Source organism: Homo sapiens, chromosome 7 (assembly GCF_000001405.40).
Source record: "Homo sapiens chromosome 7, GRCh38.p14 Primary Assembly".
NCBI classification, from domain to species: domain Eukaryota; kingdom Metazoa; phylum Chordata; class Mammalia; order Primates; family Hominidae; genus Homo; species Homo sapiens.
In genome coordinates this window covers 81144670-81165039 of record NC_000007.14, presented here as the reverse complement: position 1 = coordinate 81165039, position 20370 = coordinate 81144670, and the positions used below count along the sequence as shown (strand labels likewise).

At 36.2% G+C, this 20370-nt stretch overlaps 2 annotated features.

Annotated features, from left to right (window-relative positions):
* Positions 8968–9112: an enhancer, noted in NCBI's record as "145 bp enhancer 195 fragment used in the MPRA reporter construct; PK_construct_9". NCBI's record gives its function as "activates an SV40 promoter by MPRA in HepG2 cells {active_cell/tissue: HepG2}" and the evidence as "EXISTENCE:reporter gene assay evidence [ECO:0000049][PMID:23512712]".
* Positions 9033–9046: a transcriptional cis regulatory region, noted in NCBI's record as "HNF1 motif; enhancer activity is reduced when this motif is scrambled". NCBI's record gives its function as "necessary for full MPRA enhancer 195 activity {active_cell/tissue: HepG2}" and the evidence as "EXISTENCE:site-directed mutagenesis evidence [ECO:0005528][PMID:23512712]".

The following is a 20370-nucleotide window of genomic DNA, read 5'->3' as shown; positions in this document are numbered from 1 at the left end:
AGATGGTAGTTAACTTTTTATTTAATTTAATGCGGTACTAATAGGAGAGAAGCAAACTTTATTAATTTGTGAATCTAGTAAGGTATTTAGAATAAAATTCTAAATAATTCTAGACTTTGTTATTTTGTATGAATATTACAGCTATTATAAATGATACTCTTTTAATACCACTTCAAGATATTACTAAGTTGGCAGGCTATTTTTCTATTTACTCATAGCTTTTATTAAAATCTTCAATCCAAAGACCAGTGATCCTTACCATGAAACAAAATTTTGGCCCCCCCAGGTTTAATTGCCTCTGGGAGAGACGATATTTGGAGTCCAGATCCTGTAGTACCTGTGTTCTGTTCTTTCTTCTGCCCATTACTTTAAATGGTACTTTAAATGTCTGCAATCCAGTGGCTAGTGTAATAGACCAAGGGGCTTGCTTAGGTAAAGCTATGTTCTTGTGAGTCCAAGCTCTTGAGACTTGAACATCGATTCAATGAGCCTTCAGGGAGAAGGAAACAACTCCATCCAGATGGTGCTTAAGAAAAAAACGAAATCTTAAGCTCTTTCATATAAATCAGCCAAGTAATATGCTAAGTCACAAAAGGTAAATTATGAAACTGCTTTTTCCCAATTCCAAAGCAATCATTTTCTGATGTTTCCTTTCTTTTGAAGCTACTGTTGTTTTTCTCCACTGGTTTTAATTTTTAAATGTAGAAACAAATGATTAAATATTTAAAGAAATATATTATTATTTATCCTAGATGTTGGTGCCATGATCTGGTGACAAGAACACAGATTAGGAGTCAGGTTTTTATGTGACTTATACTGTTTAAAATGGATCAATTTACGTAACCTCTCTAATATGGATTTCCCTATCTATATGACAGGGAGAATAATACCTTCCTCCAGAGTTGTTTTAAGGATTAAATGTAGTAACGGATTGATGGTAAAAGGATTCACAATTTGAACTTAGATGATGCCTAAATACAGACACGTGCAGAAAAGTCTTTAGAAGATTGGTGAAGAGGATCTATCAGCAGTTTATTTACCTAAAAGGGCAACTGGCTTTCTGAAAATAAAATCATTCTAAAGGTGGAGAAAGAGACACGAAAGATGCAAACAAACAAAAACGTCTTCGTTTATTTAGAATAAAAGGTAATTTTGAGTCCAATATAGAAATGGTCACTCAAATCAATTTTCTGCCCTAAGCTATGATAACCTTATGAGCAAGACCTAGGAAGAGAATTGACAAAGAAATCAATTACTGCCAAAATAATTATCTTGAATAGTTGTTTCTCTCAAAATAGTTATAAAAGTTTAGGTTGGGCATGGTGGCTCACGCCTGTAATCCCAGTACTTTGGAAGGCTGAGGTGGGTGGACATATGAGGTTGGGAGTTTGAGACCAGCCTGACCAATGTGGAGAAACCCCATCTCTACTAAAAATACAAAATTAGCCAAGCGCGGTGGCACATGCCTGTAATCCCAGCTACTCAGGAGGCTGAGGCAGCAGAATCACTTGAACCCGGGAGGCAGAGTTTGCGGTGAGCCAAGATCACGCCATCGTACTGCAGCCTGGGCAACAAGAGTGAAACTCTTTCTCAGAAAAATTAAAAAAAAAAACAAACCCAAACCTGAAGACACACTGTTCCATTATTGTTTTGAAGATGCTGAACTGCAAAAGCAGTGTATTAGTCAGGGTTTTCTAGAGGGACAGAACTAACAGTATACATGAAAGGGAGTTTATTAAGGAGAAATGACTCATACGATCACAAGGTAAAGTCCCACAACAGGCCGTCTGCAAGTTGAGGAGCAAGGAAGCCAGTGGTGGATCAGTCCGAGTCCCCAAACCTCAAAAGTAGGGAAGCTGACAGTTCAGCCTTCAGTCTGTGGCCCAAGGCCTGAGAATCCCTAGAAAAACACTGGTGTAAGTCCAAGAGTACAAAAACTGAAGAACTTGGAGTCTGATGTTAGAAGGCAGGAAACATCCAGCATGGGAGAAAGATGAAGGCAAGAAGACTCAGCAGGTCAAGTGCCTTCCAATTTCTGCCTGCTTTATTCTAGCCATACTGGCAGCTGATTACATGGTGCCCACCCAGATTGAGGGTGAGTCTGTCTGCCTCTCCCAGTCTACTGACTCAAATGTTAATCTCCTTTGGCAACACTCTCACAGACACATCCAGGAAAAATACTTTGCATCCTTCAATCCAATCAAGTTGACACTCAATATTAACCATCACAAGCAGTAATTTTTAAAAATTGCTTTGTGTAACAAAATGTAACACAAAGGTGGGAGATTTGGACACTTTCTGCTTATTCCTAGAACTTAGCATGACCATGTACATTTAGAGCACATGAGAACACATCTCAGTTCTGTCATCAAGGATTTCAGGGGACCACAAATACCTTTTCCTGTGACAACCAGAGATACCTGGCATCTGACAGGATTGGTTGTAAATACAGAACTCAAAAGGCTCATTTTAATGTCCTCAGGAGCTATGAACAATTTCTGAATCTGAATTAGGAAGCTTACGTTGAGCACCAGCAGCAGGCGTGGTATCTATATAGAGGTAATACATCAGTGAATAAGGGTAAGGTTAGACACAAGGAAACAGCCACTGGACAGTAGGTCAGGGGTCGGTGTCATGAGCGGTGCAACATAAGAGATAACCAGGTCCATGCATATTTGTGTATTTCAACAATGTCAGGCTTTTATTGTTGCTATTTCAGTCACAAAAGTCATGAGCTACATGGAGGTCCCAAGGAGACAATTCTTAGTGCTTCCCATTCACTCAGTAGTCAGAGCCACAGACACACAGGCTCTAGCCATGCTAGAAGTCAGTCAATATTGCAAAACATACATAATAGTATACTTAATTAATATATAAATGTTATAGATTAAACATTCCACAAGAAACAAAGTAACATTTAACATGAAGGGGAAAAAGCGATAGGAGAAAGAGTTAATTAACCAGTCTAAGGGGGAGCTAAGAAGACAAACGAAGTTCTGGTCTGGAGCCAGTCTTGGTCTTGCAAGGAAGTCTGGTCTGGGCCTTGGTCTTACAAGGAAGAGTGTTTAATGTGGCAGAGCTTTCAGGGGCAGATCCGAATTCTTATCACGAGTGACTGGTAGACAGTGTCAGTTAAGATGTCCATTTGGAGCTGCCGAAGGCCTGCTCATTTGCAATCACAGAATCCTCTGGTGAGAACTGATAGTGGAAGAGTGTGCTTGTTTGTGCCCTTATCTGGTTGGATGCAATCTTTATTTTTTTATTTGTTTATGAAGCAAAACATCTTATCCTTGTTGGCAAAGTGTCCTATGAAATATAAAATTGAATTCCTTTTCTAAGATGGAATTAGTTTTGTCAAAGGCACTCTATAGAGTCAGCAAACTTTTTCTGTAAAAAGCCAGACACTAAATATTTTACGGTTTGTGAGCCAGATGGTTTCTGTTGCAATGACTCACCTCTTTTGCAACTACTCAACTACTCATGTGGTGAAGAAGCATCCATAGGGAATTGGCACATGAACAGGTGACAGGCAGGACTGGGGCCACAGGCTGTTATTTTCCGTGCTCTAGGATGACTGAGAGGACTTACTCCTGAATGCAACAGACTAACCCTTAAAGATGCTTAGAAACAAATGAAGAAATACAAATGAAGGAAGAGTGAGAGTTAGATTTTTTTTTCCAAATTCTGGCCAATAAGTTGTAAAAGGAAATCTGCAGGAGACCACCTAGGAAGGCTTTCCTCTTTTTTTTTTTTTTTTTTGAGACAGAGTCTTGCTCTGTCACCCAGGCTGGAGTGCAGTGGCGGGATCTCAGCTCACTGCAACCTCCGCCTCCTGGGTTTATGCCATTCCGCTGTCTCAGCCTCCCCAGCAGCTGGGACTACAGATGCCCGTCGCCATTCCCGGCTAATTTTTTTATATTTTTAGTAGAGACGGGGTTTCACCGTGTTAGCCAGGATGGTCTGGATCTCCTGACCTCGTGATCCGCCCGGCTCGGCCTCCCAAAGTGCTGGGATTACAGGCGTGAGTCACCGCGCCCGGCTGGCTCTCCTCATTCTTAAGCGAAAAAAAATAGTTTCCTTCCAACTTTCTTTTTTTTTTTTTTTTTTTTTTACCATTGTTAGCATGTTAATTTTTTCTCTCTGGCAGATCTTCTCCTAGTCCTAAAAACGATTTCCACGCATCTCCAAAGTCAGCAAAGTTGAAATGTGTTTGTGACTTTTCTTAAGAGTGAGAAAAGCGGCTGGGCGCAGTGGCTCACCTGTAATCCCATCACTTTGGGAGGCCGAGGCGGGTGGATCACGAGGTCAGGAGATCGAGACCATCCTGGCTGACACGGTGAAACCCCGTCTCTATTAAAAATACAAAAAAAAAAAAATTAGCCGGGCCTGGTCGCGGCTCCTGTAGTCCCAGCTACTTCAGAGGCTGAGGCAGGAGAATTGCTTGAACCCGGAAAGCGGAGGTTGCAGTGAGCCGAATCACACCACTGCACTCCAGCCTGGGCGACAGAGTGAGACTCTGTCTCAAAAAAATAAAAATAAAAAATAAAAATAAATTAAAAAGCTGTATCTCTCACTTACTTTAACATGAAGTTTTTCTCACTGTCAATAAGTTTGTCTCAAAAATATACTTTGAAATGGCCTGCTGTTTTGTTTGTTTTTGAGGGTTTTTTTGGTTTGTTTGTTTGTTTGTTTTCTGAGATGGAGTCTTGCTTTGTTACCCAGGCTGGAGTTCTGTGACACGATCTCGGCTCACTGCAACCTCCACCTCCTGGGTTCAAGCGATTCTCCTGCCTCAGTCTCCCAAGTAGCTGGAACTACAGGGGTGCACTGCCACGCCCAGCTAATTTTTGTATTTTTAGTAGAGACAGGGTTTCACCATGTTGGTCAGGATGGTCTCGATGTCTTGACCTCATGATCAGCCCACCTATGCCTCCCAAAGTGCTGGGATTACAGGTGTGAGCCACTGCGCCCGGCTGAAACGACCTCTTTTTTATATAGATGTTATATAATTTATTTAACTGATACAACATTTAGGTAATTTTCAGTTCTGAAAAACCATTTCAGCTTTATAGATTCATTTTATCACTAGGATGGGACTTTTGGCTATTTCTTCTTCAAGACTTTATCAACATTTATTTTAAAAAACAAGCCCGATCATTTTGCAGTTGCTAGATAGTGAGTATCTTAGCAAGAATCCCCATGAACTCAAAGTAAATCTGCCTTTAAAAATATTATGAGAAAACATTCATTTTGAGAAAACAAATTTACGTTTTCAAGAAGTATGAATAAATATGTATGTATGTATTCCAATTAAACAAAGCAGTGTGTCCCAGTTCTATCCTCTGGGAGGAATGAATTAGTAACTTTATCTTAGTTAAGGATCTGGTGCTGCACCCTCTGTTCATTCATCTTTGGTTCCCAGGTCCCAGCCTCAGCAGCCATGGAAGATGAGTCACCTGCTCTGAAAATGGACTCCTCTTTCCTGGAGATAGCATCACTTGCACTATTTGCAGAGTCGCAGGTCAGGCTACTCTGTGAATCCTTAGAACATATAAACATATATCAACACAATTTGAGCTTCATCTCATTGGTTCAGAATATGAATTTTCAAGGTGTTTCCAAATTGTGTCATCTAAGAACAAAAGCAAAACACCCTCTCCTACAATATATATTTTCTCCAGTAGACTACAAGCTTTTCAAAACTGGGAACCTTATCTTACTAATTTCCTATCTCCCAATATATGTGTAATGCTCAAATGTTTATGAAATAAATGCCTACTAGGGGTGTTTTTAGAGAAAAATATATGTGCCTGTGCGAAATGCTTAAAGGAGGACAGAATAAAAGTCTTCTAAACATAAAACTTCCCATTGTTGTATCAAAATAGGGTGGTATAACTAAATAATGAAAGAGTTCAAATAAGCCACAGAGTCGTCCTTCCATTTTTCTCACTTGTAATTGAAATGTAATGTCACTGTTGCTCTATGTTACTTAAAATGAAATACACATCAACACTTCCACAAAAAGTACTAAACAGCGAGAAAAATATATTAACTTGAGGGAGTTAGGTTATTCATCACACACATTAAATAAAACACCTACTTTAACAGTCACAGAATTTCTCTCTTATTTGTTCTTATGCAGTTTTTAAATTTATAAGAATTTTATAAATTTTTGTAAATTTTAAGAATTATGTAGATCCTATTATCTGACAATTATCATTTCTCCTCAAAGTGATGGTCTCAGCTGCTAATTTTATTTAAATAGCTACAAAGAAAGTTAGGAGGAAGCTAGATGGTAATAATTCTTTTGTTAGATAAACACTAATTGTTTTTCATAGAATTTATTTAGCTTTTCAGAATTCTTGGTGGGGAATAATGATAACTTTTAGTTAATCTGGAAATCAAAAATAAATATCTTGTCTTTTTGTATTTGCTAAGTGATCATATATTAGGGAAGATCATGAAAACCGAGCAGGAACATGTTGGGAAGCAAAATACCATAAATTTACAACTGGGCTTAAGTTAGCTAAGAGATTGATGACCCACTTGCTAATGTGGGAGAAATATACACAGGGTATATTGAGTTACTTTACTGCGGGTAGTTTGATGTGCTATATTATGCTGGTACTACCCTACTTGACCTCTGTTCAGTGATGCATTAAAAATGTGAAGTATTGTACTTCCTTAGAAAGCAGACTCAATGCATTTCAACCCCATGCTGTTTGTTACCCAAAGCAAGCATGGTTAAATTATATGCATCTCTTGGTTTTAAAGGAAGGGAAAAAGGGGAGGAGGAGACACGTTTCTCATGGATTAGCATCCTCTGATCTATTTTGGCAACTAAACTAATGCAAATTCAGCAGGTCCCTTTTTCAGGGTTGAAAATAAAAATATATTATGACCTGTTTTTAATGTTGATCTGAAAAAGACCTGAAAAAAAATTTTTTTTAAGTCCTAGAAAACCAAGTGGTCTCTTTAAATATAAATGTCTTGCATTATATGAACACAGAAATAATATTTACTGGCAAATTGTCTTTTGTAATCTTCCTGAAGTTTCTCCTTCTTTTATATTTACACCCTCCAACATACACATACACATACACAGGGACTTAGCTATATGTGTTCTTTTCTATACTTGATCTTAGCCAAAGGGCAGAGAAGTGATTGTGTTTGTTTCTAGACTAAGTTCTTAATGGTTCAGAGTCTTCAAGTTCATTCTGGTACACATCTTGTCTTCATGCTCCATAGTATTACATAGTCTTGTATTTAAACAGTGGATTTTAAATAAACGGTGAAAACACAGTGATTGTAAAAGTGAAGAAGCATGAGTAACTATCTGCCATTCCATGTGACTGGTTAGAGCTTTTACTTATATTTACAATGTTATAAGTGTAATAGACTAAACATGAAAGGGTCTTTTTTTTGGGGGGGGGGAGGAATTACATACTTAATGACAGAGTAAATATTTGAATATATCTTTAAAGTTGGGATTCTTTTCTCTTTTAAATTGTTCAATTTTAAATTAAAGAGTGATTTAAATAATGATTATTAGTGACTGTTGCAAGATTATTACTGTACATAGTTTTGTTATGGAAATATGAAGAATGTTTAAAAAATCTGCTCAGGGCATTACATATACTAGGTATGCCAATGTTTAAATCAAAAGGAAAGAAGTTGGGGTGAGAAATGTAGAAGTGAAATGCTACCTAACAGATTCTATCATGTCAGAACATTGCCATTTCAGTAGCATTTCTTTTCAAATTGTTGCCTCCTTAAACTCTTCTTTTCAAGATCAAAACATCTCATTTGGACTAAAATTATTATTCATGAGTTCAGATTAAAATATGATTCATTTTTCTCAGATACACTTCTTTCTAACTTGGAATATGATGAATTCCTCCTGGTTTGAGTTATTAACATTGAATCTTGTCTTCAAACTGACACTTAGACTAGATTATAAAGGACATGCATTCAGATTTCATGTGAACTATGCCTCTCGGAAGCCAATAGAATGTAAAGGTTTGTTTATACAAAGCATCCAATTTGCTCTATATTTTAAATATAGATAGCACTGTGTAGTTCCATACATGAACCCCTAAAGCTGGAAGTTCTATTTGACTTTTTGACTTTTTTTTGAAATTTGAGAGGAGTCATTAGGAAACTGAAACTCAATTATTCATTATGGGAAAATCCAATAATTGAAAAACTGTTAAACATATTAACTCAATAAATGTGAATGTTAATTGGAATTTATCTAATGTATTGTTAATTAAAATGACAGGTCCTGTGGAATCCTGTGATTTTCCAAGTGATCTCTCATAAGTTAGATGTGCAGCTATGATTAGAAGATGTGGCAGGGAATAGAAAAAAATACAGAAATTGATAGAAGGATAAGAAAATAAATTGGAATTATGATAGATGCTCTACTGAGAAATAAAGAGTTAGGATTTGTTTATAAATAAAAAGCAAACTTGAAACAGAGCAATGAACACAGTATTAAATTGTTAATCTGGGATTTTTAAGTTGTTAAACTGGGATTTTAAATCTTAGATGCTCAAGATTCCCATCATATTACTGATGGTAAACAAAGAATATTAACATTTATATAAAACTCTAACCTTTTATGGTAACCAGGATTTAAAACAAATAAATATTGTTATGTGGGAATTGTAATAATGATCCCATTTCCCTGATGTTGACTAAAGTGTTAACTCTTATGTTCTATTCTGGGGTTTAGTTCAATGAACTACACATCTCTTTACATTAAATGTGGGCTTTGCTTCCTTCCTTTCCTTTTTTTTTTTTTTTTTTTCCTTGGAGTTCACTGTCTCGTCTGCGGTCAGCTTTCTTCATATTTTCTACCTCTTCTTTCAGTGGTTCGTGTTGGCTACCTAAGCATTCCTTTCTATCCTACACTTCAAGGGTGATAGGGAATATTTGGTTTTTCAGGAACAAATGAGTAACGTTTGCATGAAAATGTAACTAATAGTAAAATAGCTCTCTGTTTGCTTTCATGGCAGCTATTCAATAGAGGTTATTCATTAACAAGTTCTCCTCTAGTGTAAAGTACTTAGAAAGAACTGGTTCAGAATGTAGCCTTTGTTTCCAAGTCTTCCTTTTATCTTGGTTTGTACCCTATGTCCTCATGCCTGAAGCAGTCACTCTGTTCTTCTATGTCAAACTGTTACAATTACCTTCACATTCTACTGGAAAAGTCATCACTCACAAACTCCCACTCAGTGTCTCTGTGTCATTAGGAATGAAGCCTAGTGGATATAATTTCCCACCAATTCAGCATTGAAGTCAGAAATATAATGAATGGTTAACAAGTCCCAGACTGGAAGCCACTTCTGTTGAAGGATGCCAGCCCATGGGCTGAATGTATGTGCAGTAATTTTGTGAACATATAGAGAGCCCTGAAAATTTAAGCAAACAGGCAAAACAAAACAAAATGCATCACAAAAATGTGCTGGAAGAGAGGTGTAGTGTCACAACCTGTTGTGACAAATCTATTGATTTAACTACAAAACAACATTATTTACTAAAGACTAAAAAATATATGGTTGACATTAAATCACACTTTGAGGTTACTAATAGGATTATATAAGCATAATGAGTAAACAAGACACTTTGAACTTTTGTTTTTAAAAATTATATCTTTTCTTTTAATTAGCAAAATTACCTAAAAGCAATACAATGATACTTGGAAAGAATAAAAATTCAAATAAAAAAGTTACCCATACCTTCTCTTATGGCTTGAATTGTGTCCCTCAAAATCCATCTGTTAAAATCCTAACTCCTAGTACCTGAAAAGGTGACCTTATTTGAAAAATAGATTAATTACAGATATAATAAGTTAAGGTAAGATGAGGTTATTAGGATGGGCTGTCTAGGGTCCTTGTAGTAAAGTGAAATTGGGACACAGAGGCATGTACCCAAAGAGAATTCCATGTGAAAGGACTGTAAACCAAACAGCATATGAGACAAGTCTCAATCAATTTAGAAGTTTATTTTGCCAAGGTTCAGGATGCGTGGTAAGGAGACATGTCTGTGCCTTTCTCCAAAGCTGATTTTTAGGGCTTAAATATTTATAGGAGAAAGGGTGGATACTGAGGAAAGACAAAAACATTTTTTAAAGGTATGTGTAGATAAGGAGCAAATGGTTGCATTCTTTTGAGTCTTTGATCAGCCATTCGCATGTGAAAGTGGGGGGGTAGAGGAATAGTCACTTATGCATTCTTCTAACTCAGTGAATCTGTATTTTTACATAAGATAAAATAAACATAGGGCAGAAGAAGCAATCAGATATGCATTTGTCTCAGGGGAGCAGAGGGATGACTTTGAGTTCTGTCCTTTCTCCCATACCTTTGAAGATAAGTTATCAATTAACATTGTCAGGGTGAAATTCAACAGAACTGTTTTAGGGTAAGGATCTTGGGGCCCACAAGGAATTTCCTAGTGGGCAAATTGTGAGGGAGGTATGTGGCCTTTTCTTTTTCGTAGCTATCTTATTTAGGAACAAAATGGGAGGTAGGTTTGTGTGAGGCAGTTTCCAGCTTGACTTTTCCCTTCGGCTTGGTGATTTTGGGGTCCTGAGATTTATTTTCCTTTCACAAGACACAGGAAGAAGATGGCCATCTAAAAGTCAAAAGAAGAAGCCTGGAACAGATTTTTCCCTCACAGTTCTCAGAAGGAGCCAGTGGTGCCGACAACTTGATCTAGTCTCCAGAGCTATACCACAACCAATTCCACTTATTTAAGCCACCTAGGTTGTGGTACCTCGCTACAGCATCACCTAGAAAATTAATGCACCTTCATTACCCAGAGATAACCTCAGTAAACACTTACTATACATTTAAAAATCTGTGGCCTATTTCTGTTTACTTATTCAAATATTTTTTTTTCACATAACACTAAATTTTGAACAAATTTTTCAGTCTATGGCGGTGACGTCTTGTGCCCTACCCTGAAGTCCATTTTTCCTTCCTCCCAGTAACAATGCTCTAATTTTAGTGCTCAATCAAAAGATAACATTTGCAGCCTCCCTTGGGCCATGTGCTTATTTATCTAAATTCTGGACAAAATGATGTTAGCAGAAATGTTGTATTGGACTGTAAAGAACTGCAAAGTTTCTAAAATTTTGCACTACTTGAAAGCAAAAAAGAAACCCTTCCACAGAAAGGTGGTTTTCTTGTCCCAGTTTTCTGAGTGCCAATTCCCACAGGGCCAGAAGAGGATGAGACACTTACAGAGCCTAAAACTTTTATAATGGTCAGTGAACCTGCACACCCTTTGTGTAGGACAGAAATGCTGTTTCTACCTTGCAAGGCTGCTTCCTATAAAAAATTCTTAAAACGATAGACCACCAGCCAACGTTTTGAGGATGCATTCATATTTTCAGAATGACAGTAGGAAGAGAGGAAACTGAGCTCCATACTAGTCCTGGCCTATGCACCCCCCCAGACTTCTTTTATGGCTGAGGAAATTAAACTTCTTTAGTTAAATCACTTATTTTGGGAATTTTCTGTGGTGCTGTCCAATCCTAGGTCTAACTGGCATGCAGTCAATAAAACTTACATTTAAAACTTCATTTTTCAGCCGGGCACAGTGGCTCACATGTGTAATCCCAGCACCAAGTCAGGTGCATCACCTGAGGTCAGGAATTTGAGACCAGACTGGCCAACATCGTGAAACCCTGTCTCTATTAAAATACAAAATTATTTTACTCTATTAAAAATACAAAATTTAGCCGGGCGCGGTGGCGGGCACCTGTAATCCCAGCTACTCGTAAGGCTGAGGCCGGAGAATCATTTGAACTCAGGAGGCAGAGGTTGCAGTGAGCCGAGGTGGCGCCATTGCACTCCAGCCTGGGCAACAAGAGTGAAACTCCATCTCAAAAATAAATAAATAAATAAATAAATAAATAAATAAATAAATAAATAAATAAAATAAAATAAAATACTTCATTTTTCATAATGACAAAGAAGTAAATCATATAATCATACCATCATTTCCTTAGTTAAACCCATTATTGTACTCCCCTTGTTTTGTTCTCATTTTCTTCTATTCCAATCCAAAGTTTGATGCATGCAGTTTGTTATCCGTGAATATTTTTGTTCATTAAAATTATTTCCTCAAGATTGGCTTTTCTTTTTTATTGTGGGTTTTTGTCTAGCATATTTTCATTTAGCATATTTTCATTTCATATAAATATATACACATGTAGACAAAACAATAAAATCTCAAAGTTAAAAAATAAAAATTAATCACCATTTATATGTCTGCTTCCTCTTCTCTCTCTCTCTGCATGTATATAAAACATCAATCCAAAACTTCAGGGTTAAGGGGTAAGTATATTTGAACTTTTCCATTCACAATTCTTCAGATAAACAGTATAGTTCTAAATGATAGGCTTTTCTTATGATATTATGATTTATTAAATTTAACCTGTATTAGATAAGACTCTTCAATGAATTTAAAGTGACTTAATTTGCTTACACTACCCTCCTCTTCTCTCCTTTCCCTTTCCAATTTTTTTGCATGAACATTAATTTTTAATTCTCTTGACTGCTAATTACCAAAGCTTCATAAATCCAACTTCTTTTATATAGTCAATAGATATGCTTTTCTACTAATGGGTGTCTTAATCAACAAAGAGAGATAAATGAGTCTATTTGGATAGAAATAAGATTGATACAGCAAAGACCTGGTCCTATGATCTGAGTTGCTTTTATCTCAGTAATTCAAAATGCTTTTAGCTCTTAAGATAATGATTCAGGGTGTTTGTATAATAAATGTAATTACCTTGATTTATATGCCACATAGGAGACATAAAAACTTTATTTTAAGGGTTAACATTTATAGACATAACGCATACTATTTGAATAGACAAATCCATATAATTTTTCTCTGTTTTTCATGAAGAGGTGAGTTCAGCTCTATTGCTGTTTATAATTTCCCTGCATATAGTTCCGTTTGTAACCAACAGATGGGGAGCAGAAACAGTAGCTTAGTGTGTGTTTGCATGTGTGCCTGTGTGTGTGTGTGTGTGTGTGTGTGTGTGTGTGTGTGTGCTTAAGGGCATATGTCTTGCATGCCTGTACTAAAAGCTGAACAAATGCATTTAGGCACGAAGAGACAATTGTCTAAGAAAAAGATCAAGGAAGCTAACAAGGATGAGTTACATTCACTGATACGCTAGTGCTAATACTGTGGAGAGAGCAAACAAGGTCTTAGAACAAATGGCAATTTTCTGCTGTTTGTGTTCCAACAGTACATTCTTTGTCAAGATTCACTAGGAACAACTAAATATCATACCTAATAACTAATAAAAAGCAGGCTACCTAATAATTGGATCCTAGATCAGTTTTTCCATCTGCATAACCTCACACTTTTAGCTAAATCCAGCTGTTAAGATTATCTTATAACGAAGGCATTACCTTGGTGCAATTCAACTCTTCATTATTGATCATGAGCCAAACCTAAATAAGATACAGAAATGAAACATTGAAATGTTTAGTAAGAACAGTTATGGAAAACAAAATTATTAGTAGTACAGAGCATTGTCAATGCCTAAGAAACTCAGGAAGGAGTCTAGCTAGCTGTTCAGAAGAGTTTAACCATTTAAGTTAAAAATATGTAGAGAGGAAGAAATCAAAACCAACAAGAGAGAAACAGTGAGATGGCTATTCTTTACTTTTTGGCTGATGAGCATCAAAATGCTCTTCCTATGACTGAGCAGTCTGACCCTTTTTGAGGCCTGGTGAAGACTCTTTCTCTGAAACAGAAAGGATCAGAAGCCCTTGGTAGCTCAGATGCAGGCATGTGACTCAGCTTGGGCTTGGGACCTCTGCTCTGCCAGTCAGATTCCCCTGCCCAAGCCTGTGCTTCTGTGCTGTCTGATAGTTTACAAATCCTTTGGAACATTGTGGTGGCAACACAAATAGCTAGAGTCCACTGACCACATTGGCAGTTGTATTGAATTCAAACAGCTCAGCAGGGCACATCCAGTGTTCCTGGCACCAGGGACAATTTTCTAACCAGCCTGAGCACACGATGAGATGGTGGCTGGGCTCTTGGCTGCCTGGCCTCCTTTATACCCTATTATTTTTCTGCAGCCCAGCTCTATTGACTTCCTGCTGATTTGGGAAGGTACCAGATATTTCTTCAATAATGCCTTTTTCTGCTTAACTAACCACATGTGATTTCTCTTCATTGAAACAAATAACCTTTGCTTAATTGCATTAGTAATCCTCATGATAACATGATTCTAATCCTCATTTGTAATCACGATACATTTTAAAACATATCCAAAGTTTTATATAGTCTAAATTAGTCTAATATTTTAACAGAGAAATCTTTTTTTTTCTAACCCAATACACCTAAGGAACATAATTATTCTCATTAGTAGCAACTAAATAAAATAAGACTTTTTGTTGAAGCCTATTTGATCAGTTGTTATGGTCTGATTAATATGGATCAATACAAAATCATTGATTTTTTATTATGCAATAATGTCAAATATATGAATGGACATCCATGGTATTAGCTCATTTCATTGCATTGACCTTCATTCTGGCATCTCTTATCCCTGGCTTCTAACCCAGATCACCTGAGCCTCAACATATCTGTGATCCCAAGAAATAGTCATGATCACTTAGGATCAGAGACAGTGTATGATTAAGGAAATGACTGAAGAAATCTACCTCATATACTACTTAGTAATTTTAACAGTTTGACATTTAACTTTTTTTGTGTTGCATAAAAGTAGCTGTATCAAAACTGCAATGTGACATATACCTTGGCTCATGATTGTGGTAACTGGAGAATGGAAAGCAAAGAAATATACCAGTATTTTAAGAGTAGAATGTGTGTTGTTTATAAAGCCCTTTCTCCCCCCAAATAACTGTTATAAAGCATTCATTGTTTATGAATAACAACATGAACAATGAAATGGAACCAGCTCTGAGCATGTATACATGTATCTGTGTGTTTGCTGTATTTTAATGTATAAAATAGCTAGAGGTAAGATTGATATCTAGAGGAGATTGATTGGAAAGGGAGTACTTACATAAAGTACATAAGATACTTTGCCCCCCATACACTAGAATTCTTTTTTACATATTTCTAGGTACACAGTAGGTATATATACATTTATGGGCTACATGAGATATATTGATACAGGCATACAATGTATAATAATCACATCAGGGTAAATGGGGTATGCATCATCTCAAGCATTTATTTTTTCTTTGTGTTACAAACAATCCAATCATACTCTTATAGTTATTTTTAAATGTATGATAAATTATCGTTGACCATAGTCACCCTATTGTGTTATCAAATATCAGGTCTTATTCATTTTATCTAACTATATTTTTGTACCCATTAACCATTCCCCCTCCAACTACACTTCCCAGCCTCTGGTAACCATTGTTCTACTCTCTATCCCCTTGAGTTCATTGTTTGTTTGTTTGTTTGTTTTTTGCCTCCCACAAATAAGTGAGAACATGCAACATTTGTCTTTCTGTGCCTGACTTATTTCACTTAACATAATGGCCTGAAGTTCCAACCATGATATTGCAAATGACAGAATCTCATTCTTTTTTATGGCAGAATAGTATTTCATTCGTGTATATGCACTACATTTTCTTTATCCATTCATCTATTAATGGACACTTAGGCTTTTTCCAAATCTTGGCTATTGTGAAGAGTGCTGCAATAAACATAAGAGGGCAGATATCTCTTCAATATACTGATTTCCCTTTTTTTTGGATATAAACCTAGCAAGAGAATTCCTGGATCATATGGTAGTTCTATTTTTAGTTTTTTGGAGGAACCTACAAAATGTTCTCCATGGTGGTTGTACTAATTTACATTTCCATCAACAGTGCATGAAGGGTTCATTTTCTCCACATCTTTGCCAGCATTTGCTATTGCCTGTCTTTTGCATGAAAGCCGTTTTAACTGGGGTAAGATGATATCTCATTGTAGTTCAGATTTGCATTCCTCTGCTGATTAGTGATGCTGAGAACTCTTTTATATATTGGTTTGCCATTTGTATGTCTTCTTTTGAGATATTCAAGTCTTCTGCCCATTTTAAATCAGATTATTAGATTTTATTTTCCTATTAAGTTGTTTGAGCTCCTTATAGATTCTGGTTGTTAATTCCTTGTCAGATGCACAGTTTGCCAATATTTTCTCTCATTCTGTGGGTTGTGTCTTCACTTTGTTGATTGTGTTCTTTGATATGCAGAAGCTTTTTAACTTGATGTAATCCTATTTATCCATTTTTGCTTTGGTTGTCTGTACTTATGGGTAGTTCTCAAGAAAAGAAACTCTGCAATGTCCTGGAGAGTTTTTGCCAATGTTTTCTTTTAGTAATTTCATAGTTTGAGGTCTTAAATTTAAATCTTTAATCCATTTTGGTTTGATTTTATATATGGTGAAAGAGACGTGTCCCATTTCATTCTTCTACATAGACATATCTAGTTTTCCCAGCACCATTAACTGAAGAGACCATCTTTTTCTCAATGTATATTCTTGCTACCTTTGTCAAAAATGAGTTCATTGTAGACATATGGATTTATTTCTGGGTTCTCTATTCTGTTCCTTTGGTCTGTCTGTCTGTTTCTATGCCAGTACTATGCTGTTTGCATTACTATAGCTCTGCAGGATAATTTGTAGTCAGGTAATGTGATTCCTCCAGTTTTGTCTTTTTTGCTTAGAATAACTTTGGTTATTCTAGGTCTGTTGTGGTTCTGTATAAATTTTAGGATTTTTTTTCTTCTTCTATGAAGAATGTCATTGGTATTTTAATAGGGATTGCAATGAATCTGTAGATTGATTTGGTTACATATGTATATTTTAACAATATTGATTCTTCCAATGACTATGAAATATCTTTCCATTTTTTTGAGTCCCCTTCAATTTCTTGTGTCAGTATTTCATAGTTTTCATTGTAAAGATCTTTCCTTTCTTTGGTTAAGTTGATCCCTAAGTATTTAATTTTATTTGTAGCTATTTTAAATGGGATAACTTTCTTGATTTCTTTTTCAGATTGTTCACTGTTGGCATATAGAAATGCTACTGATTTTTGTATGTTGATTTTGTATGCAGCAACTTTACTGAATTTGCTTATCAGTTCGAATATTTTTTTGTTGAAGTCTTTAGGTTTTTCCAAATATAAGATCATATCATCTCCAAACAAGAATAATTTGACTTCTTCCTTTCCAATTTGATGCCCTCTATTTCTTCCTCTTTTCTTACTGCTCTAATTAGGTCTTCCAGTAATATGGTGAGCAACAATGATGAAGGTGGGCATCCTTGGCTTATTCCAGATCTTAGAGGAAAGACTTTCAGATTTTCCTCATGCATATGATTTTACCTGTGGATTTGTCATATATGACTTTTATTGTCTGGAGGTATGTTCCTTCTTTTCTTTTCACAAAAGAAACTTTATTAATTATCATGAGGTCAACGTCCTTACCATCATGCTAGCCAAGAAATAAAACTTTGATAATCACCTCATATCTCTCTATTTGGTCCATCCCAGCCATAACCCTTCTCTCTCTTCCACTCTTCCTCCACAAGTAATTGATATCCTGACTTTCTTCGTAATTTTTTTAAATTTATTTATTAATATTATACTTTAAGTTTTAGGGTACATGTGCACAATGTGCAGGTTATTTACATATGTATACATGTGCCATGCTGGTGTGCTGCACCCACTAACTCGTCATCTAGCATTAGGTATATCTCCCAATGCTATCCCTCCCCTTTCCCCCCACCCCACAACAGTCCCCAGAGTGTGATGTTCCCCTTCCTGTGTCCATGTGTTCTCATTGTTCAATTACCACCTATGAGTGAGAATATGCGGTGTTTGGTTTTTTGTTCTTGCGATAGTTTACTGAGAATGATGATTTCCAATTTCATCCATGTCCCTACAAAGGACATGAACTCATCATTTTTTATGGCTGCATAGTATTCCATGGTGTATATGTGCCACATTTTCTTAATCCAGTCTAACATTGTTGGACATTGGGGTTGGTTCCAAGTCTTTGCTATTGTGAATAATGCTGCAATAAACATACATGTGCATGTGTCTTTGTTTTTTTTTTTTTTTAGTTTTTTATTGGTGAGTTGTTGTTATTTTTCTTTTTTTTAATTTTTCTTTAAGTTCTGGGATACATGTGCTGAATGTGCAGAAGACTTCATGATTAAAACACCAAAAGCAATTGCAACAAAAGCCAAAATTGACAAATGGGATCTAATTAAACTAAAGAGCTTCTGCTCAGTGTAAGAAACTATCATAGAGTGAATATGCAATCTACAGAATGGGAGAAAACTTTTTCAATCTATCCATCTGACAAAGGTCTAATATTCAGAATCTACAAGTAACTTAAACAAATTTACAAGAAAAAAGCAAACAACCCCATCAAAAAGTGGGCAAAGTATATGAACAGACACTTCTCAAAAGAAGACATTTATGCAGCCAACAAACATGAAAAAAAGCTCGTCACTGGTCATGTAAGAAATGTAAACCAAAACCACAATGGGATACCATCTCACACCAATTAGAATGGAGATCATTAAAAAGTCAGGAAACAACAGATGCTGGCAAGGATGTGGAGAAATAGGAACATTTTTACACTGCTGGTGGGAGTGTAAATTGGTCAACCATTGTGAAAGACGAGGTGGTGAATCCTCAAGGATCTACAACCAGAAAAACCATTTTACCCAGCAATCCCATTACTGGGTATATATCCAAAGGATTATAAATCTTTCTGCTATAAAGACACATGCACAAGTATGTTTATTGCAGCACTATTTACAATAGCAAATACTTGGAACCAACCCAAATGCCCATCAATGATAGACTGGATAAGGAAAATGTTGCATATATACACCATGGAATACTATGTAGCCATAAAAAAGAATGAGTTCATGTCCTTTGCAGGAACCTGGATAAAGCTGGAAACCATCATCCTCAGCAAACTAACACAGGAACAGGAAACCCAACACCACATGTTCTCACTCATAAGTAGGAGTTGAACAAAGAGAACACATGGCAACAGGGAGGGGAATGTCATACACCAGGGCCTGTCAGTGGGTGGAGAAAAAGGGAGAGCATTAGGAAAAATACCTAATGCATGCAGGGCCTAAAACCTAGATGACGGGTTGATAGATGCCATATGTTCCTTCTATACCCAGTTTATTTTAGAGTTTTTATCATGAAGGTAGGTTAGATTTTATCAAATGCTTTTTTGGCATCAATTGAAATGATAATATGGTTTTTATCCTTCATTCTGTCAATATGATGTATTACATTGATTGATTTGCATATGTTAAACTATCCTTGTATCCCTAAAATAAATCCCACGGGTCATAATGAATGATTATTTGAATGTGTTGTTGAATTGATGTGCTAGTATTTTGTTAAGGATTTTTGCATCCATATTTATCAGGGATATTGGCCTACAGTTTTCTTTTTTTGATGTGTCTTTGGTTTTGATAGCAGGGTAATACTGGCCTCGTAGAATGGGTTTGATAGTATTCCTTTTTTCTCTATTTTTCAGGATAGTTTGAGTAGGATCGGTAGTTCTTCTTTAAATGTTTGATAAAATTTAGCAGAGAAGCCATCAGTTCCTTGGCTTTTCTTTGCTGGGAGAATTTTTACTATGGCTTAGATCTCATTACTTGTTATCGGTCTGTTCAGGTTTTGCATTTCTTCTTGGTTCAATCTTGATAGGTTGTATGTGCCTAGGAATTTATCTATTTCTCCCAGATTTTCCAATTTATTGGCATACAGTTGCTCATAGTAGCCTCTAGTGATACTTTTTTTTTGAAACGGAGTCTCACTCTGTCACCCAGGCTGGAGCACAGTGGTGCAATCTTGGCTCACTGCAACCTCCACCTCCCAGGTTCAAGTGATTCTCCTGCCTCAGTCTCCCGTAGCTTGGATTACCCAGTTAGTGTGGGTAACAAAGTTTTGTTGATTTTGTTGATCTTTTCAAAACACCAATTTTTGATTGTTGATTTTTTGTTATTTTCACTTCAATTTCGTGTATTTCGCTATGACTTTTATTATTTCTTTTCTTCTACTAATTGTGAGTTTGGTTTGCTCTTGCTTTTCTAATTCTTTATGATGCATTATTAGTTTCTTTGCTTAAGTTATTCTATTTTTTGATGTAGGCACTTACTGCTAAAATTTTTTTATTACTGCTTTCACCATATTCCACAGGTTTGGGTATATTGTGTTTCCATTTTCACTTGCTGCACGAAGTATTTTAATTTCCTTAATTTCTTCATAGACCCATTGGTCATTCAGAAGCACATTGTTTAATTTCACTGTGTTGATATAGTTTCCAA